Genomic DNA, 16,987 nt, shown 5'->3' with positions numbered 1-16,987 from the left:
GGTTGTTATATGGGTTTTGACAAAGGCATAGTGACTTGTATACACACCACGGTAGTATCACAGAGTAGTTTCACTGCCCTAAAAGTCCTCCGTGCTCCACCTGTTCATCCCTTCCTCCCTTCCCCCAAACCCCTGGCAACCACTCATTTTTTACTGTCTCCATAGTTTTGCTTTTTCTGGAATGTCATATAGTTCAAATCACAGTATGTAGTCCTTTTAGTTTGGATCCTGTAATAGTCCGTTTTCGCGCTGCTGATAAAGACATACCCGAGACTGGGCAATTTACAAAGGAAAGCGGTTTAATGGAGAACTCACAATTCCACGTGGCTGGGGAAGCCTCACAATTATTGCAGAAGGCAAGGAGGAGCAAGTCACGTCCTAGGTGGATGGCAGCAGGCAAAGAGAATAAGCTTGTGCAGCTAAACTCCCGATTTTAAAGCCATCAGATCTCGTGAGACTAATTTACTGTCATGAGAACAGCGTGGGAAAAACCCACTCCTATAATTCAATCACCTCCCACTGGGTTCCTCCCATGACATGTGGTACTTATAATTCAAGATGAGATTTGAGTGGGGACACAGCCAAACCATATCAGATCCTTTCACTTAGAAATATGTATTTAAGTTCTTCCATATCTTTTATTATTTATTTTAATGTGGATAAATATACCATTTTCTAAATGTACCACACTTACCTGTTCACTTACTGAAGGACATTTTGGTTGCTACCAAATTTTGCCAATTATGAACAAAGGTGCTATAAATATTCATGTACAAGATTTTGTGTGGACATAAATGTTTAACTCATTTCAGTAAAACCAAGAAGCAGTATTACTGGATCTATGGTAATTGTTTTGGCATTGTTTCACATTTCAAATCAGTTGAGAAACCTTCTCAGGTATCTTAGAGGAAGCAAAAACAAAGTGCTTCTTCCTTTTTTACTTTTTCAATAATCTCTAAGCCTCCAGATGTCTGTGAATGTCACCTTTTGAATAGACATACACATACACACAACACAGTCACACTGCATAAGTGTGTTACTATTGCACACCTATCTGCAGGACCAGAGTTCAGTTACCCATTTCCTTAATATCTAGTGCACAGGAATATGGAGAAAGGGTCAGCATGTTAAATGACATCAGAGAGACACAAAACAAAAACACGCACCATTCCAGAATGTGGCAAATTCTGGACAAATGTCTCATCAACTTCAAGAATAATAATAAAAAGTGGTAGCTGTGTATTATTATAGACTCACCAGATGAAACTACTAATAGCCATATAGATTCATTTTGGATCTGATTGCAATGAATTTGTCTTAAAAATCAATTTTGGAGACAATTCGAGGTGACTGAGCACTGATGATATATTTTATGATGCCTTAAATAATGATTGATAAAGTTATAGGAATTATGAAAGAGCTCTTATGCTTGAAAATGCATTCTGAAGAGGTGCAGCATTGAATGACAAGATGTGGGAATTGTAAGTAAAATAATTATGTGTGAAAAGAGTTGAAACAAGAATGGCTACTAAATGATAAGTAATAATGGAAGATTTAGAAAGGTTTCATAGTGCATCTGAACACAGTCCTTTCCATTTGTGTATATACTTGAAAATATCCATTAGAAGAGGAAAAATAAGTTTTTGTACCCATTACTTGTTAAGAGGGATGGACTAAAAAGGGCAGGTGGAAACTTATGGTTTCGAGTATATATTAAAATAGAAATTGTATACTTTAAATATGCAGAATTTAAGACAACTAGATTTCACTTAAGCCACTTTTAAAAACACAAGTAATAAATACTCAAAAGTCAATTCTTAATCATTTTACTGTTTTACTCTTATATATACATTGTTCTATAGTGAGCAGGTGTATGAAAATCTATCCCAAAGGCCAACGAAGCTGAAAGGCCAAAGAAGGAGGAAGAGGCCAAATTGTTTTCAGAAACATTTCATAGGGACTCATGAACAGAAGTGATGTCTTGTGCAGCTGTGAGACAATGGATCCCTGTATCTGCCCTCCAGAAGGCAGTTTCCTTTACATCCTTTATAGGACCCTTTTTGTAGTGGTCAACAAGGCTGGAGTTTTTTGTTTGTTTGTTTTTCTAGACGGAGTCTTGCTCTGTTGCCAGGCTGGAGTGCAATGGCGTGATCTCGGCTCACTGCAACCTCCACCTCCTGGATTCAAGTGATTCTCCTGCCTCAGCCTCCCAAGTAGCTGGGATTACAGGCACCCGTAAGCCACCACAACCGGCTAATTTTTCTATTTTTAGTAGAGATGGGGTTTCACCATGTTAGCCAGGATGGTCTCCATCTCCTGACCTCGTGATCTGCCCACCTTGGCCTCCCAAAGTGTTGGGATTACAGGCAAGAGCCAACACGCCCGGCCTGGAGTTTTTAGGGTAAAACGTGCAGCTCTTCACGTCTTCAGACTTTCTTGCCAAGACTCATGACCATTGGGGGAGAGAAGCATTTTGATGATATCTATGCTACTGCTTCAGAACATAGGTGACCATGACAGCTTCACTTCAAGATGGCATCAGTCTTGCCACACCACAGGCTGTATGGTTCCTACATACATGATCTTCAGGTTATCTGCGGCTACTGTATTGGCATGGTGAAAGTAGAATACAGTGGTGTGACGCTACCCACTTCTTCTCAATTCATGTTCAGTGACATTATTTTGACACCTTGTAATTGGCCATGGTGGGAGTATTTTACCAGGGAAATTGGCAAATATTAAAAACCAGGGCTTATTTGTTTCATTGAATGGTTAGACCTAAGAAAGTGATGGAGAATTTGTCAATGAAGGTAGTGTTTCAGGTATATAGTGTCTGTAGTTGTTACACTGTGAATAGACCAAAAAACTGAGAAATTATTTTCCCAGTATTTGAAAACAATTTTATCATTTAGCAAATAAGTGCATCACATTACTGAAGAATGAGTAAAGTTTCAACATAAGTCTTTGTTATACGTCTATTTATTAATGAAAAAGTATCACCAACATCCATTTAAAAATAAGCAAAAGACATTAATAAACATTCTTCCAAAGAGGATATACAGGTGGCAACTAGATACAAGATGTTCAAATGTTCAATACCATAAAATACCAGAAAAATGCAATAAAATCACAGACAGATGCTATTATACAGCTATTAAAACAACTAAAATTAAAAAGACTAACCATACCAAGTATGGCAAGAATGTAGAGAAATAAGAAGGTTCACATACTGTTGATGAGAATGCAAATGGTACAGTTAGGTTATAGTCTGGCCTTGTCTTTAAAAGTGACGCATTCACGTACACTGTACTACTGACACAGGAGAAATAAAGCATTTCTGCATATTAAGAGTTATATGCCTATGTTCATAGTAGCATTATTTGCAACAGCCCAAAACTGGAAAGCATCCAACTGTTTATCCAAATTGTGACATATCCACAGACTATTTCTCAGCAATACAAATGAACTATTCACATAAGCAATATTGATAAATCTTAAAAGTAATTGTGCATCAGCTGGTGTGGTGGCTTACGCCTGTAATCCCAGCACTTCGGGAGGCTGAGGCGGGCGGATCACGAGGTCAAGAGATCAAGACCATCCTGGCAAACATGGTAAAACCACATCTCTACTAAAAATACAAAAATTAGTTGGGCGTGGTAGTGCATGCCTGTAGTCCTAGCTTCTCAGGAGGCTGAGGCAGGAGAATCGCTGGAACCCAGGAGGAGGTTGGAGTGAGCCAAGATCATGCCACTGCACTCCAGCCTGGTGACAGACTGAGACTCCATCTCAAAAAAAAAAAAAAAATTGTGCATCATCAGGAAAAATGGAGTAAGTATTTTACGTTTCAATTCACATAAAATCCTAGAAAACACAAACTATTCTCCTGTAGGGAAAGTAAATGACAGGACTCCTGAAGGCCTGGAAAGTACACGCAGAGATTGTAAAACAGCAAGAGGTGAATCATGAATATGTTCATGATCATGATTATGGTTTCACAGGCTTGTATGACAAACTCTTCAAATTATACACCATAAATGGATGTAAACTATGGCATGTCACTTACACATCAAGAAAGTTTGTAAAACATGTTTCACAATAAAGTATCTGATCACCCAACTTTCAGAAACCAGAATGCCTAGCAATCTCATGTTGACTGCACTCTCTCTTCAGGCCTGGGGAAGGGCAACCATGAGTCCCTCCATGCAGGAAATGTTGGCAAGCAATGAAGGCTGTGGCAATTTGAGACAACAGCAACACTGGTGGAAATCACAAGAGCTATCAATACATCCCTGGCCTATAGGACTTCTGTTATCTTTATCCTCCTTTTTCTGCCTCTACAGCAATGCACTTGAGGTGAACAACCTAGAAAACCAACAAGAATTAAAAAATAAAACCCTTTAATTATTTTTGCTGAAAATAACCTCAGCTATTGGACATACACAGATTTCTAGGTCCTATGACTGCTCAAAGCCACAGTCACGGGAAGATTTGTAAATGTACTTTTATAAGAGGCACATTCCAACTAGTTTGCTACAGTACACACAGTACAGAAATACCCAGGTATTTCTGTACCAATTACAGTTCACATGTGACTCGCGTTGTCTTCTGCGTGACATCGGCCTATGGAATGTTTGATATCAGGGCATGCCTCCTTATAGAACCCCATGAAAAGCTTCTCAGCAGCACTGGGCATCATATGACATCCTCTGGAAACAATGGAATAAAATTGTCCTATTCCCTGAAGCACACATGCTTGTCATAACAGCTGGCCTCTCCTCAGGATGACCTCTAGTCTCACAGAAAGAATAGGGATCCAGGCCACAAATTAGAATAACCAAAACCTTGCATTTTTTCCTAGGAGATTTTAGGTAGCAAAGCAAGTATGACCAAAACCAGAATTAGAATTACTCTGTCATCTTACTTTCCTGCAGAGGCCCACAAAAGCCATCCATTCCTTCATATAGAGTTGAAGTCTGTCTCCCAGCCACCCCACACAGTAAACAGAACCCCAAGACTACAGGTAGATTCAAATATAAGGCTTTTATTAGTGCACAAACTGGAGCAATGTGAGGCAGCCATTCACCACGTGGTGACATGGAGGCTGGAAGAATGACCAAGTGTCATGTGAGACCAAGAATTTACATGAAGGGAATCCTTGCACATAAGTGTCCAGCAGAACCAAGGCTGGGCCCTCCTGACCCAAACTGGGTCACACGTATGCTGTGATCAGTCAGAAAAAAGAATGAATTTTCTCTAAAGGCTTAGACTGCTCAAGATTTCCTCCAAAGACTTAAGAGAACACACAGATGTCTGCCTTGTCTTAGCACATAGGAGTGACCAGTGCCCACTGTGCAAGGTGGTAGAGGGTAGATGGTTTCTACCAGAGAAACAAGGAAGAATGAGGTTCAACTTCAGGCAGATGGCTCCCTCACAAAGGCTCTCTACTGCTACAATACTACAGAGACAGCACTTTCCCTGTAGGTCTAAGGCTCTACTTAAGTGTGGACTTTCAGGAGCTAAATGATGATAGATCTTGAGTTGAAGGCGCTTCCACATTTGCTGCATTCATGAGGCCTCTATGTGTTATGACATTTTTGGTGATGTATGAGGCTGGAGCATTGGCTAAAGGAATTCCCACATTTGTTGCACTCATAAGGCCTTTCTCCAGTGTGAACCACTTGGTGTTGAATGAGACCAGACTTTTGGCTAAAGGACTTTCCACACTGGCCACACTCATAAGGCCTTGCTCCAGTATGAATTCTCCGGTGTTGAATAAGGATGGAGCTTTGACTAAAGGATTTCCCACAGTCACCACACTTATAAGGCCTTTCTCCAGTGTGAACTCTCTGGTGTTTAATGAGGGTAGCTTTTTGACTAAAGGATTTCCCACACTGGCCACACTCATAAGGCTTTGCTCCAGTGTGAATTCTTCGGTGTTGATTAAGAATGGCACTTTGACTAAAGGAATTCCCACATTCACCACACTTATAAGGCCTTTCTCCAGTGTGAACTCTTTGGTGTTTAACAAGGGTGGCTTTTTGGCTAAAGGATTTCCCACACTGGCTACACTCATAAGGCCTTGCTCCAGTGTGTATTTTCTGGTGGTCAACAAGGCTGGAGTTTTGTCTAAATAATTTTCCACATTCGCTGCACTCATAAGGCCTTTCTCCGGTGTGGATTCTCCGATGATCATTCAGGTGGGAGGTTTGGCTAAAGAATTTTCCACATTCATTGCACTCCCAAGGCCTTTCTCCAGTATGGACTCTCTGGTGCTGAACAAGTGAGTACTTGCCACGGAAGGCTTTCCCACATTTGCTACACTCATAAAGCTTTTTTCCAGTGTAGACTCTTGGATGGTAAACAGGAGTGTGTTTGTGCCTGGAAGCCTTCCCACATTCACCTGACTTGTAATGACTTTTTTGACTGCGAATGTCCTCCCCACATTCAGTAATTGTGCCGGGTTTCTTGCCTCCAGGAAAGACCAGGGACCTCAGAAGCCGCAACATGGCTGGAAGGTCCTTTCCAACCTCCCATTTGCGAAAGGGCTTCAATGACATACAGAATAGGCAGCACTTCACATATGAGGCTCTGTCCATGTCCCTCTTCAAGGATTTCTTTGCACTGTGATGCTTCTGGTGCTGGTGATGGTTTGTACATTCTCCAACCAAGTATGGTTTCTGCCCAGGGAGATCAGCTAGATGCAAAATATCTTTCAGGACTGGGACACACATCTCACAGGATTGAGTCTTCTGTGTGGATGAACCTGCCTTTGACTGTGACACTCCTACAGAAACATTCTGGTCAGAAGGTGTCTCTTCATCCTCTGTTCCATGGCCACAACCTGAAAGCAGAGAACCGCTGATGAAATATACATTGACTATGCTGAGAGCAAGAAGCCCCATTACACACATACCAAACGAATGATTCACCAGGTTTGTTTTGAGGATAATGGAGCTGGGGGCAAGTTGAGGAAGGGGTTGCTTTGCAATACTGGATCTCTAAAGATCACAGAATGAGGGAGGCCTCACCAAATAAAGGACACAAGGATGGGATGAAGGACAGGGAATGGCATTGCCTTCAAACCATTCCTCTACCAACAGCCTCAAAAATTATCCTTGAGTAGCCTTCCAATTCCTAAAACTCACCACATAGTCTTCAGGAGGACCTTGTCTGCTGGTGACACCTGCATGCTGTGCAGAAGGTTGACTGTGCCCAAGCCCAGGAAAATACAATTGAAACTGAGTAGCAAGTGATATGATCACATATCTTCATGTGGTCATATATACATACTTCATGAGACATTATGTGTGTGTCAATGTTGGAAAACATTGCAGAGGGAGCAGTGCAGAGAAGCAGATGATGCATGAAGATCAGAAAGGTGGAGGTAGCCAGGTGCTAGAAGTCATAGATAAAAATAATAAGAGAGAGAAGTGTCAAGTACTGAGAAGAAAATATAGAAATGAGATTTGGCCAGTGGCATGTGCACCCAAACAGTGGTGAAGACAGGACAGGCTCCTTATGTGATCGGAAAACAGCCCGGATATCATGCCCCCAACCAGTTGCCACTCAACAAGCCCAGGCCTTCTCTGAGACCATGTTCACCCTATAAAGCAACCAGGTTTCTCTGCACACCCTCAGTTGTCTAGCTATGTGGGACCTTCATGAAGCCAAGTCCTACCAGAAAGACAGAACATGTGAGTGATCAGCACTGATGCAGAACGACTCAGCACACAACAGCCCATGGGCAAGAAAGTTAATATCATTAAACAAACAAACAAACAAACAAACTAGAAGGAGTGAGTAAGAAGAGCCCATTGTCCCCATAAGTATAGACAATGACAATGACTACAATCATGACACAGGTAGCCACAAGAAAATGTCAGCTAGCAGATGGGGGTGCAGGGAACTTGGGACACAAGGTGTCATGGATCTGAACACAGACACCCAGCCAAGAAGAGAGCAAGGAACAGAGATCCATTTGGCTGACTGAAGAACACCTGCTGCCCAGTGGCAGGTGTTCCCAGACCACTGGGCAGCAGGTGTTCCCAGACCACTGGGCAGCAGGTGTTAGGGCTACTCAGGCAGTGCACAGTGCTGGATCCCATAGCACATATCCCAAGAAAGTGGAGAAGTCAGCAAAAGACCATAGACAGACCAGGACACTGGAGTTGGTATTAGGGCCTTACCCAGTGAGGCTACAAGGGCAAAGTTCTCCAGCATCACTTCAAGGTACAGGAGTCTCTGAGCCTCATCAAGAAGTCCCCACTCGTCCTGTGAGAAGTAAATGGCGATGTCCTCAAAGGTCACACAGCCCTGTCATGATGGGGACAGGTCACTCCACAATCAACGCCTCCACAAGTTCATCCACCCACGCAATCATCCCCACCTTAAGGAAATACAGGCCCTGGTGACACAGATGCCCACTCTCTTTTCATGGTCCCAATGATCACTGTATCCTTCTACAGCACCAACCAGGAGGTGGGCAGGATGCACCACATCTAAACTTTGGGCCCGGTATGTAGGAGTGTATCCCTTCTTGTCAGGCAGTTCCCCAAGGGTCTTTCAGATAGTGCCTCCTAGACACAATCAAATGTGGCTTCACCTTTGACCCTTAAGTCCTCAATGCCAGGGGCCTGGGTCCTTCAGTTCACACTCCCTCTCCATGTACACATCATTCTTTGAACCATACTCGCTCAGTCTCACTCCCACGGCTACCTCCACCCCTCTGCCTGCCAAATTGAGACATCATCCAGTGCTACACAGACCTCTGATGGTTCCTACTGTCATAGACAGCCCCCACCCTGCTCTGAAGGGCTATCTTCCTGACTCTGTTCCTTGCTTCAACCTCAGCCACCAAGAATCACCTGATGTCAGACACCGATGGCCGTCCTCCACTTGTGCTGCACTTGATGTCCCCTCTTCAATCAACAACCTTCTTCTCACCTCTTAACCCTCATTCAAAATCAGTGGCCTCAGTGGCACAGACTCTCAGTGGCTCTCTACCTCCAACCTAATGACTCATACAGATGAACACTTGTACTCCTAAACTTATTCAACTGCTTGACTCACACCCTCCCCAGACTCACCAAGGGTCACAACAAATTCCTGGCGAGTTTTTACCATGGTGAATAAGCACTAGTCCTAGTGTTTTAGTCAGTTTGGCCTGCTAGCATAATACCACAAACTGGGTGGCTTATCAACAACAGAAATTTATTTCTCACAGATCTGCAGGCAGGAAGCCTGAGATCAGAGTGCCAGCATGGTCAGGTTCTGGTAGGGACTCTTTCCAGGTTGCAGACTGCTGACTTCTTGTATCCTCACTTGTTGGAAAGAGCACTAGATAGTAGCTCTCTGGCCTCTTTGTTTAAGAGCACTCACTAATCCCATTCATTAGGGCTCCACCCTCATGACCTAATTATCTCCCAAAGGCCCAACCTCCAAATACCATCACACTGGAATTAGGCTTTAAGCATATGAATTTTGCGGGGACACAGTCCACTGTACCTGGCCTCAGTGTCATCTTCTACCAATTATTTCTTTATCTCCATGTCTGTCTTATGTCCCTAATGCCTTGGAAGCCTTGACCACTTATCAGATGATATGATTTGGCTGCGTCCCCACCCAAATCTCTTCTTGAATTGTAGTTCCCACAATTCCCATGTCATGGGAGGGACCTGGTGAGAGGTAATCGAACCATAGGGGCAGGCCTTTCCCATGCTGTTCTCATGATAGTAAATAAGTCTCACAAGATTTGATGGTTTTATAAGGGGGGAGTTCCCCTGAACAAGTTCTCTCTTGTCTGCTGCCATGCAAGACATGCCTTTCACCCTCCACCATGATTGTGAGGCCTCCCCAGCCACGCGGAATCATGAGTCCATTAAACCTCTTTTTCCTTACAAATTATCTAGTCTCCAGCACATCTTTATCAGCAGCATGAAAATGGACTAATACAGTAAATCAGTATGAGTAAAGTGGGGCTGTGCTGTAAAGATAACTGAAAATGTGGAAGCAATTTTGGAATTGGGGAACAGGCAGAGGTTGGAACAGTTTGGAGGGCTCAGAAGAAGACAGGAAAATATGGGAAAGTCTGGAACTTCCTAGAGACTTGCTGTCTTTATCAGCAGTGTGAAAATGGACTGATACACCAGATCATCCTCTTTCCTACAATCTTCCCATGACCACTTTTCTCTCACAACTGTTTGTGATGCTCACCACCTCTACCACGTGTCCAAGCATGAGACACAGTCATAGCCCCAACCTTCCCTTTTCTGTTTTTTTGTTTTGTTTTTGAGATGGAGTCTCACTCTGTCACCCAGGCTGGAGTGCAGTGGCGTGATCTTGGCTCACTGCAACCTCCGCCTCCTGGGCTCAAGCAATTCTCCTGCCTCAGCCTCCCTAGTAGCTGGGATTACAGGTGCCTGCCACCACGCCTGGCTAATTTTTGTATTTTTAGTGGAGACGGAGTTTCACCATGTTGGCCAAGCTGGTCTAGAACTCCTGACCTCAAGTGATCCGCCTGCCTCGGCCGCCCAAAGTGCTGGGATTACAGGTGTGAGCCACCACACCCAGCCCTTTCCTGCATTATAAATAGCATTATCTTCAAGACCAGGATTACCCACTCCTAATTGTGACCCATAGCTACTCTGGGCCAAACACTGGCCACCACCTTTTGGATTTCTCCATCTTAAACCACTTCCAGAATTCTAGATGTACATGGACAGCTACTCACCTGATGTCTCCATATATCATTCTTTGGAATATCTCAGACTATGATAATAGCTAAAGACAAAACTCCTGTTATCCTTAATGAAAATTAATTGGCTGGGCATGGTGGCTCACGCCTGTAATCCCAGCACTTTGGGAGGCCAAGACAGGTGGATCACCTGAGGTCAGGAGTTTGAGACCAGCCTGGCCAACATGGTGAAACCCTGTCTCTACTAAAGATACAAAAAAAAAAAAAAAAAAAAATTCGCTGGGCATGGTAGCACGGTAGCATGTGCCTGTAGTCCCAACTACTCAGGAGGCTGAGGCAGGAGGATTGCTTGAACCCGGGAGGTGGAGGTTGCAAAGAGCCAAGATCGAGCCACTGCACTCCAGCCTGAGTGACAGAGTGAGACTGTCTAAAAATAGACAAATAAATAAATAAAATAAAAATAAAATCAATCCTATAACATGCTATTTGATGGAGATTCCATCCTTCCAGATGCTAAATTCAAAATGCCTGGAGTAATGCTTGACCAGTATCTCTTACCCTCAAAATCTGAAAATGCAAGCAGGCCTAATTAAAATTCTGACCCAGAATCCAGCCACTTCTTCTACCTTCACAGCCACCACACTGGTGAAGCCACTATCAAAACTCACCTTGGCCACTGCAGTAGCCTCCTCCCTGGTCTTTCTATCGCCTCCATCACACCCACAGAGTATTCTCTATGCTGCATTAACAGTGAACCTGATGAGACCAGTGTCAGATAACCTCCGTTCTCTTCTCTAAACCTCCCATTGTTCTCATCACCTCCAGAAAAAACACCCAATTTCTCAGAGCCATTCCAGGCCTGAGTCCTGCCCTGCTGCTCTGAGTTCCCATGAGAAAGAAAGGAGAGTTGTGTTTCCCTGAATCAGCTCAGCTTCACTGCCAACCTTACACATTATTGTACGTAGGCGGGGCAACCTTTCACACCTCATTCCATTGTCTGCCAGCAATAAGAACGTCTACAAATAACCACCAGTCTAGAATCAGGATGTCAAGCTTCCAGTTTGTGAAGAGTCCTTAGGTCAAAGAACTGGATGGTGGCAAAAAGATCCATGAAAAAACCCCAGGATGGGGCCAGGACCAGTGAGGGCCTGGGACACCCTCCACTCACCTTTGTGAGGTCCATATGTGTTTCTGGAGACACAGTAACCTGTGGAAAGCCAAAGATCATGAAAGGCAGGTGACCATACAGGGCTCTACGGATTCAGGCTTCCCTGGATTCCTGTCCAGGCCAGAGCCAGGTGGACTGAGGATGCCTGCATTATTTCTGAGCCTCAGCGTTCCAGTCCTCAGTGCCAACTCTTAGCAACTGTGGGACCTTGCACAAGAACTCAACCTCCCTGTGCCTCTGTGTTATTCCATTCTATTCTAGTCTAACTCCATGAGGTTTTTGGAAAACTTCGAAAGACCTAACTCAGACCATATGCCGCTTCTGTACACAACCCTCCACGGCTCCTAGCATCCTAAGAATTGAGGGAAAACTCCTCACCTTGGCACTCCAGGTATGAACCTTCTTCACTGTGTCTCCAAGAGTTTAGAAACGCTGGTCCCTTTGCCTGTAACCCTCTTCCGTGCCCCATCACCCAAGTTCTGGAAATAGGGACCCCACCCACGAGCCCCCACTGTACTGGACATGAGGATCTCGACCGTAGTGACCCAAGAAGGCACTAATTTGGGGATGGAGGGTGAGGCCCAGTAGAGGCAGCGCTCACCTGAGTCGGGGCCCTCAGCGCGGCCGCAGCCATCGGAGTCTGTGGGCAGAGCGGGGCCGGGACCCGACAGCTACGGGCGGAGGGACCTAGGCAAAGCCGTCAACCCCGCCGCCGCCGACCCTTAGAACCCCCACTGTTCAGCGGGAGGACCCCTCCCCTCGCGCCTTCCGACTGTCGCCAAACAAAGCGCTCCCAAAGCTCTGACGGTCTGGATGCACCCAAGCGCTGCAAAAATGACCGCCACTGAAGTGATACCGGAAGTCCCTCCCCGACCCATTGGTCCCAAAGCGGAAACGACCCTTTTCTCAGCGCGGATTGGCTCAGCATCCCTGCGGCTGGAGACAAAACCTTCTGGGTTCTGTAGTCCCCGCTGGTCCCCAGGGCTGAGGGAAGGATGCTGCCGCCCAGCGTCACCTCAAACAAAAGCCAAGCGGCCGCGCTGGGGGCGCAGGGAAATGGCGTCGCCACAATGCAGGAGAGGGCTGGGCCTTGTCGCTCCTTAAACAGGCCGCTGGTCGATTTCTGTGGTCCCGTCGCGGCTGAGCGCCCACGTGATTAGAAGCATTGATTCAGGCTCAGGAAGCTGAGGCCAGATCCACACCGACGCGTATTCCATACGTATTCGACGCTCCTGCGGGAGCAAAGGAGCCTCGTGCCCCTCCCTTGCGGGGTCAAGGCGTTCGAGGCCGTGCCGGGGCCAAGGCTATTCTGTGAAAGGAGCGACTTAGGTGTCGCGCTGTGGGCACGTGTCCCGGGAGGCCACGTGGGGGCCGCGCCCCCGGCTGCTCCTGCTCTGACCTGAGCCCTTTGACTGTACCCAGAGGCGGGAGGCGGGGCCGAGACGTCCCATGGGAAGGGGTTCTCCGTAGCTCCACCCCGGGGGACGTCTCCTCCAGGGGGGCCGGGCGAGCTGGGAAGGCCCCAGAGCCGCCGAGGAAAGCGCCTCTGCTTCCCTGAGTCCCCTCCTGGGTCTAGGAGCCGTTCCTGCGTTTTCTGACGCCCTCTCCACCGCCCCTCGGCTGAGAACTGGGTCCAGATGAGCCTTGGACCCCGTTGAAGACGTCTCCTACCTCATCTCCCACACCTGCTGGGACCATCTCCAACCGCCCTCAGGGCAGTAGGGAGGTAGGCGGGTTCCCAGGGCACCCCAAGCGGTGGCGTACAGTGGTAGGAACAAGGCCTCTGGAGCCCAAGAATGGGATTTAGTCCCCGAGGGGAAGTCCATGCTCTGCCTTACAGCGGCTGGTATGGGCTTCTGGGGGCACCCTGAGACTCGGCCTGTAGGGATACTCATAATGGCCTCCATGAAGGTGCAGGTTTAACCACTGGACCAGTCTCATCTGGCCATCCTCTGTTGGTAACATAATGTCCAGTTATTTTGCAGGCACAGAGCTAAAGAGTTGCAAGTTACACAGCTAGAGAATGTGCAGAAAAGAAAATGTCAGGCCCAGCGCGGTGGCTCACACCTGTAATCCAAGCACATTGGGAGGCTGAGGTGGAAGGACCACTTGGGCAACATAGCCAGACCCCGTCTCTACAAAAACTAAAAAATTACCCGAGTATGGTGGTGCACCTGTAATCCTAGCTACTCAGGATGCTGAGGTGGGAGTATCGCTTGAGCCCAGGAGATCACGGTTACAGTGAGTTATGATTATGCCACTGCACTCCAGCCTGGGCAACGGAGCCAGACCCTGTCTCAATAAATAAATAAGTAAATAAATAAATAAATAAAAAGAAAAGAGAAAAGAAAACATTGACCCAACACTCGGAGCTGAAGTCTCACCTACCAGACTCCACCCTGTCACCACAGGAAACCAAAATATCAGGCTATGGCTGGAACCCAAGTGCTGAAACACTTCCGAAAGCAAGGGGTCTGTTGTCTCTGAATGTTGGGTGATAACAACCCCATCCCCGCCTTGCCATCAATAGATTTGTTTGAAGTCCTTCCAATCAAAATCCACCCTTCCAGTGCTTACCAACCTGTCCTTCCTAATCCTTAAAAGCTGCCCCAAACCCCATATTGGGGAGACAGATTTGAGCTGGACTCCTGTCTTCTTGTTTGTCGACTTGCAATAAAGGTTTGCTTTTCTCAAAAACCTGGTGCCATGGCATTGGCTTCTGTGTGCGTCGGACAGCAACCCTTTTCCTTATTAACACTGGCACCCTCTAGGTGACACGGTTGTGCACCTCATTACCCTCTGGTCCCAGAGGCCAGCAGCCCCCACAATGGCCACCTAACACCTGCCCTCACCCTCACTGTCCTTTCAGAGTTGCCACATCACATCAAACATGGCTCCCCAAACTTCAAGCATGTGTGTCCATCTAGGCATAGAACTAGCGGAATTGCCTGGATAACTTGGGGAGGAGGGATAGCCTAGTTCGGAAAACCTGCTCTGTGTGGCATGCCCAGGGGACAAATGACCCACCTACTCCTGAGGCCCAGTCCTTCAGGGAGAAGCCCAGCCAGAGATGAGGGAGGCTGCCAGTGGTCACAAAGCAGTAATAAATTCCATCTATGGCTAAACTTATGTGAGACCAACAGTCAATAAGTACCTAAAGAGAAAGCTGAAAAAACATTGAAGATAGAGTGCAAGAAAGTGTGAAGCCCTTAGGATGTGGATGGGTTGTTTTGTGTTTTCTTTCTGTGTTTGTCTATTTGGCACAGCTATTCAAGTATAGCTTGGCAGCGTCATTCATATAGTCCACTAACTTCGATTACTGTTCACCCAGTTAATCCCAAGGGATTCCGCAGGTGTGGGGAGTGTTGACCTCAAGGACCATGACATCTAGCAAGGGACTGAAGATAGTGGAGGCCAGCTCCATCTGCAGGTAGAACATTCCAGAGGGCCCAGGTTTAGCTCCATCCTGTCTTTATTTTTTTGATTTCTTATCTTTAGTCTTTAGGGGTACATAGTAGGTGTATATATTTATGAGTTATATGGTGTAGTTTGATACAGGCACACAGTGTGTAATAATCACATTGGGATAAATGGTATTCATCACCTCAAGCATTTATCATTTCTTTGTGTTATAAGCATTCCAGTTATACTCTTAGTCACGTTTAATTCTTTTTTTTTTTTTTTTTTTTTGAGACGAAGTCTTGCTCTGTTGCCCAGGCTGGAGTGCAGTGGCGCGATCTCAGCTCTCTGCAAGCAACGCCTCCCGGGTTAACGCCATTCTCCTGCCTCAGCCTCCTTAGTAGCTGGGACTACAGGTGACCACCACCACGCCCGGCTAATTTTTTGTATTTTTAGAGATTTATTATAGAGATTTGATTTTAGAGATGGGGTTTCACCGTGTTAGTCAGGATGGTCTCGATCTCCTGACCTTGTGATCTGCCCGCCTCGGCCTCCCAAAGTGCTGGGATTACAGGCGTGAGCCACCATGCCCGGTGAGTTATGTTTAATTCTACAATAGATTGTTGTTGACTGTAGTCACCTTGTTGTGCTATCAAATACTATGTCTTATTCCTTCTATCTGACTATATTTTTGCACCCATTAACTATCCCCACTTTCCCTTCCATTTCTGCTATCCTTCTCAGCCTCTGGTAGCCATCCTTCTAAGCTTAATCTCCGGGAGTTCAATTGTTTAAATTTTTAGCTCCCACAAATAAGTGAGAACATGTGAAGTTTGTCTTTCTGTGCCTGGCTTATTTTACTTAACATAATTTCCTCCAATTTCACCCGTCTTCTTGCAATTGATGGGATCTCATTCTTTTTTTATGGCTAAATACTACTCCATTGTGTATATGCATCACATTTTCTTTATCCATTTATCTATGGACAGTTAGGTAGCTTCCAAATCTTGGCTGTTGTGAATAGTGATGCAATAAACATGGGAGTGCAGATCTCTATTAGATATACTGATTTCTTTTCTGGGTGGTGTAAACTGTATCATATGGTAATTCTATTTTTACTTCTGTGGGGAACCTCCAAACTGTTCCCCATAGTGGCTTTACTAATTTACACTCCCACCAACAGCGTATGAAGTTTCCCTTTCCTCTCTGTCCTGGCCAGCATTCATTATTCCCTGTCTTTTGCATAAAAGTCATTTTAACTAGAGTGAGATGATATCTCATTGTAGTTTTGATTTGCATTTTTATAGTGATCAATGATGTTAAGCATGTTTTCATCTACCTGCTTGCCATTTATCTGTCTTTTAAAATTTTTAGTTTTATGAGTACATAGTATGTATGTATATTTATGGGATACGTGAGATATTGTGATACAGGCATACAATGTGTAATAATCATATCAGGGTACACAAGCATTTATCATTTCTTTGTGTTACAAACATTCTAGTTATAATACTCTTTTAGTTGTTTTTAATGTACAATAAATTACTGTTGACTGTAGTCTCTCTACTGTGCTATCAAATACTAGATCTTATTCATTCTACCCTGTCTTAAGGAGGCCTTGGTAGCCATGCTGAGGTTATGGGGTGCTGCTTCCAAAACCAAAAGTATTATGGGCAGCTGGTATGAAGGATCATAGGCTTATGGTCTGTGAGATCCTGTATGTTTAA

General features: G+C 45.3%; 1 protein-coding gene across 9 annotated transcripts, besides 2 other annotated features; it reads right to left on the bottom strand.

Annotated features, from left to right (window-relative positions):
* Positions 1-2,961: 2,961 nt before the first annotated feature.
* On the bottom strand, positions 2,962-12,707 carry ZIK1 (zinc finger protein interacting with K protein 1). Of its 9 annotated transcripts, none has more exons than XM_011526762.2 (4): positions 12,240-12,707; positions 11,862-11,900; positions 8,187-8,313; positions 2,962-6,841 (listed from the first exon to the last, which is right to left on the bottom strand). In XM_011526762.2, exons 2-4 carry the CDS (start codon positions 11,874-11,876, stop codon positions 5,577-5,579), a joined length of 1,407 nt encoding a protein of 468 aa, XP_011525064.1. In that variant the 5' UTR covers positions 11,877-11,900; positions 12,240-12,707; the 3' UTR covers positions 2,962-5,576. The 9 variants fall into 9 exon arrangements, with proteins under 9 accessions (XP_011525064.1, NP_001010879.2, XP_011525063.1 ...); NM_001010879.4 differs by having other exon boundaries at positions 12,463-12,707; XM_011526761.2 differs by having other exon boundaries at positions 8,187-8,271; positions 12,463-12,707.
* Positions 12,667-13,198: an enhancer, noted in NCBI's record as "H3K27ac-H3K4me1 hESC enhancer chr19:58095022-58095553 (GRCh37/hg19 assembly coordinates)". NCBI's record gives its function as "activates a minimal SCP1, AML or CMV promoter by ChIP-STARR-seq in primed H9 embryonic stem cells {active_cell/tissue: H9 hESC(primed)}" and the evidence as "EXISTENCE:reporter gene assay evidence [ECO:0000049][PMID:30033119]".
* Positions 12,871-12,970: an enhancer, noted in NCBI's record as "active region_15147". NCBI's record gives its function as "activates an Ori minimal core promoter by ATAC-STARR-seq in GM12878 lymphoblastoid cells {active_cell/tissue: GM12878}" and the evidence as "EXISTENCE:reporter gene assay evidence [ECO:0000049][PMID:35858748]".

The sequence above is a fragment of the Homo sapiens genome, chromosome 19 (assembly GCF_000001405.40).
Source record: "Homo sapiens chromosome 19, GRCh38.p14 Primary Assembly".
Classification (NCBI taxonomy): Eukaryota; Metazoa; Chordata; class Mammalia; order Primates; family Hominidae; genus Homo; species Homo sapiens.
The sequence above is the reverse complement of the archived record's forward strand: the minus strand, read 5'-3'. Positions and strand labels throughout refer to the sequence as shown.

Excerpts from the sequence above, each read along its gene's own strand:
- ZIK1 (NM_001010879.4), bottom strand. The coding sequence starts at position 12,495 with ATGGCTGCGGCCGCGCTGAGGGCCCCGACTCAG. Across the intron at positions 8,314-11,861 it reads CACATATGGACCTCACAAAG|GGCTGTGTGACCTTTGAGGA; the intron begins GTGAGTGGAGGG and ends CCATCATGACAG. Across the intron at positions 6,842-8,186 it reads TGCCCTTGTAGCCTCACTGG|GTTGTGGCCATGGAACAGAG; the intron begins GTAAGGCCCTAA and ends CTCTGCTTTCAG.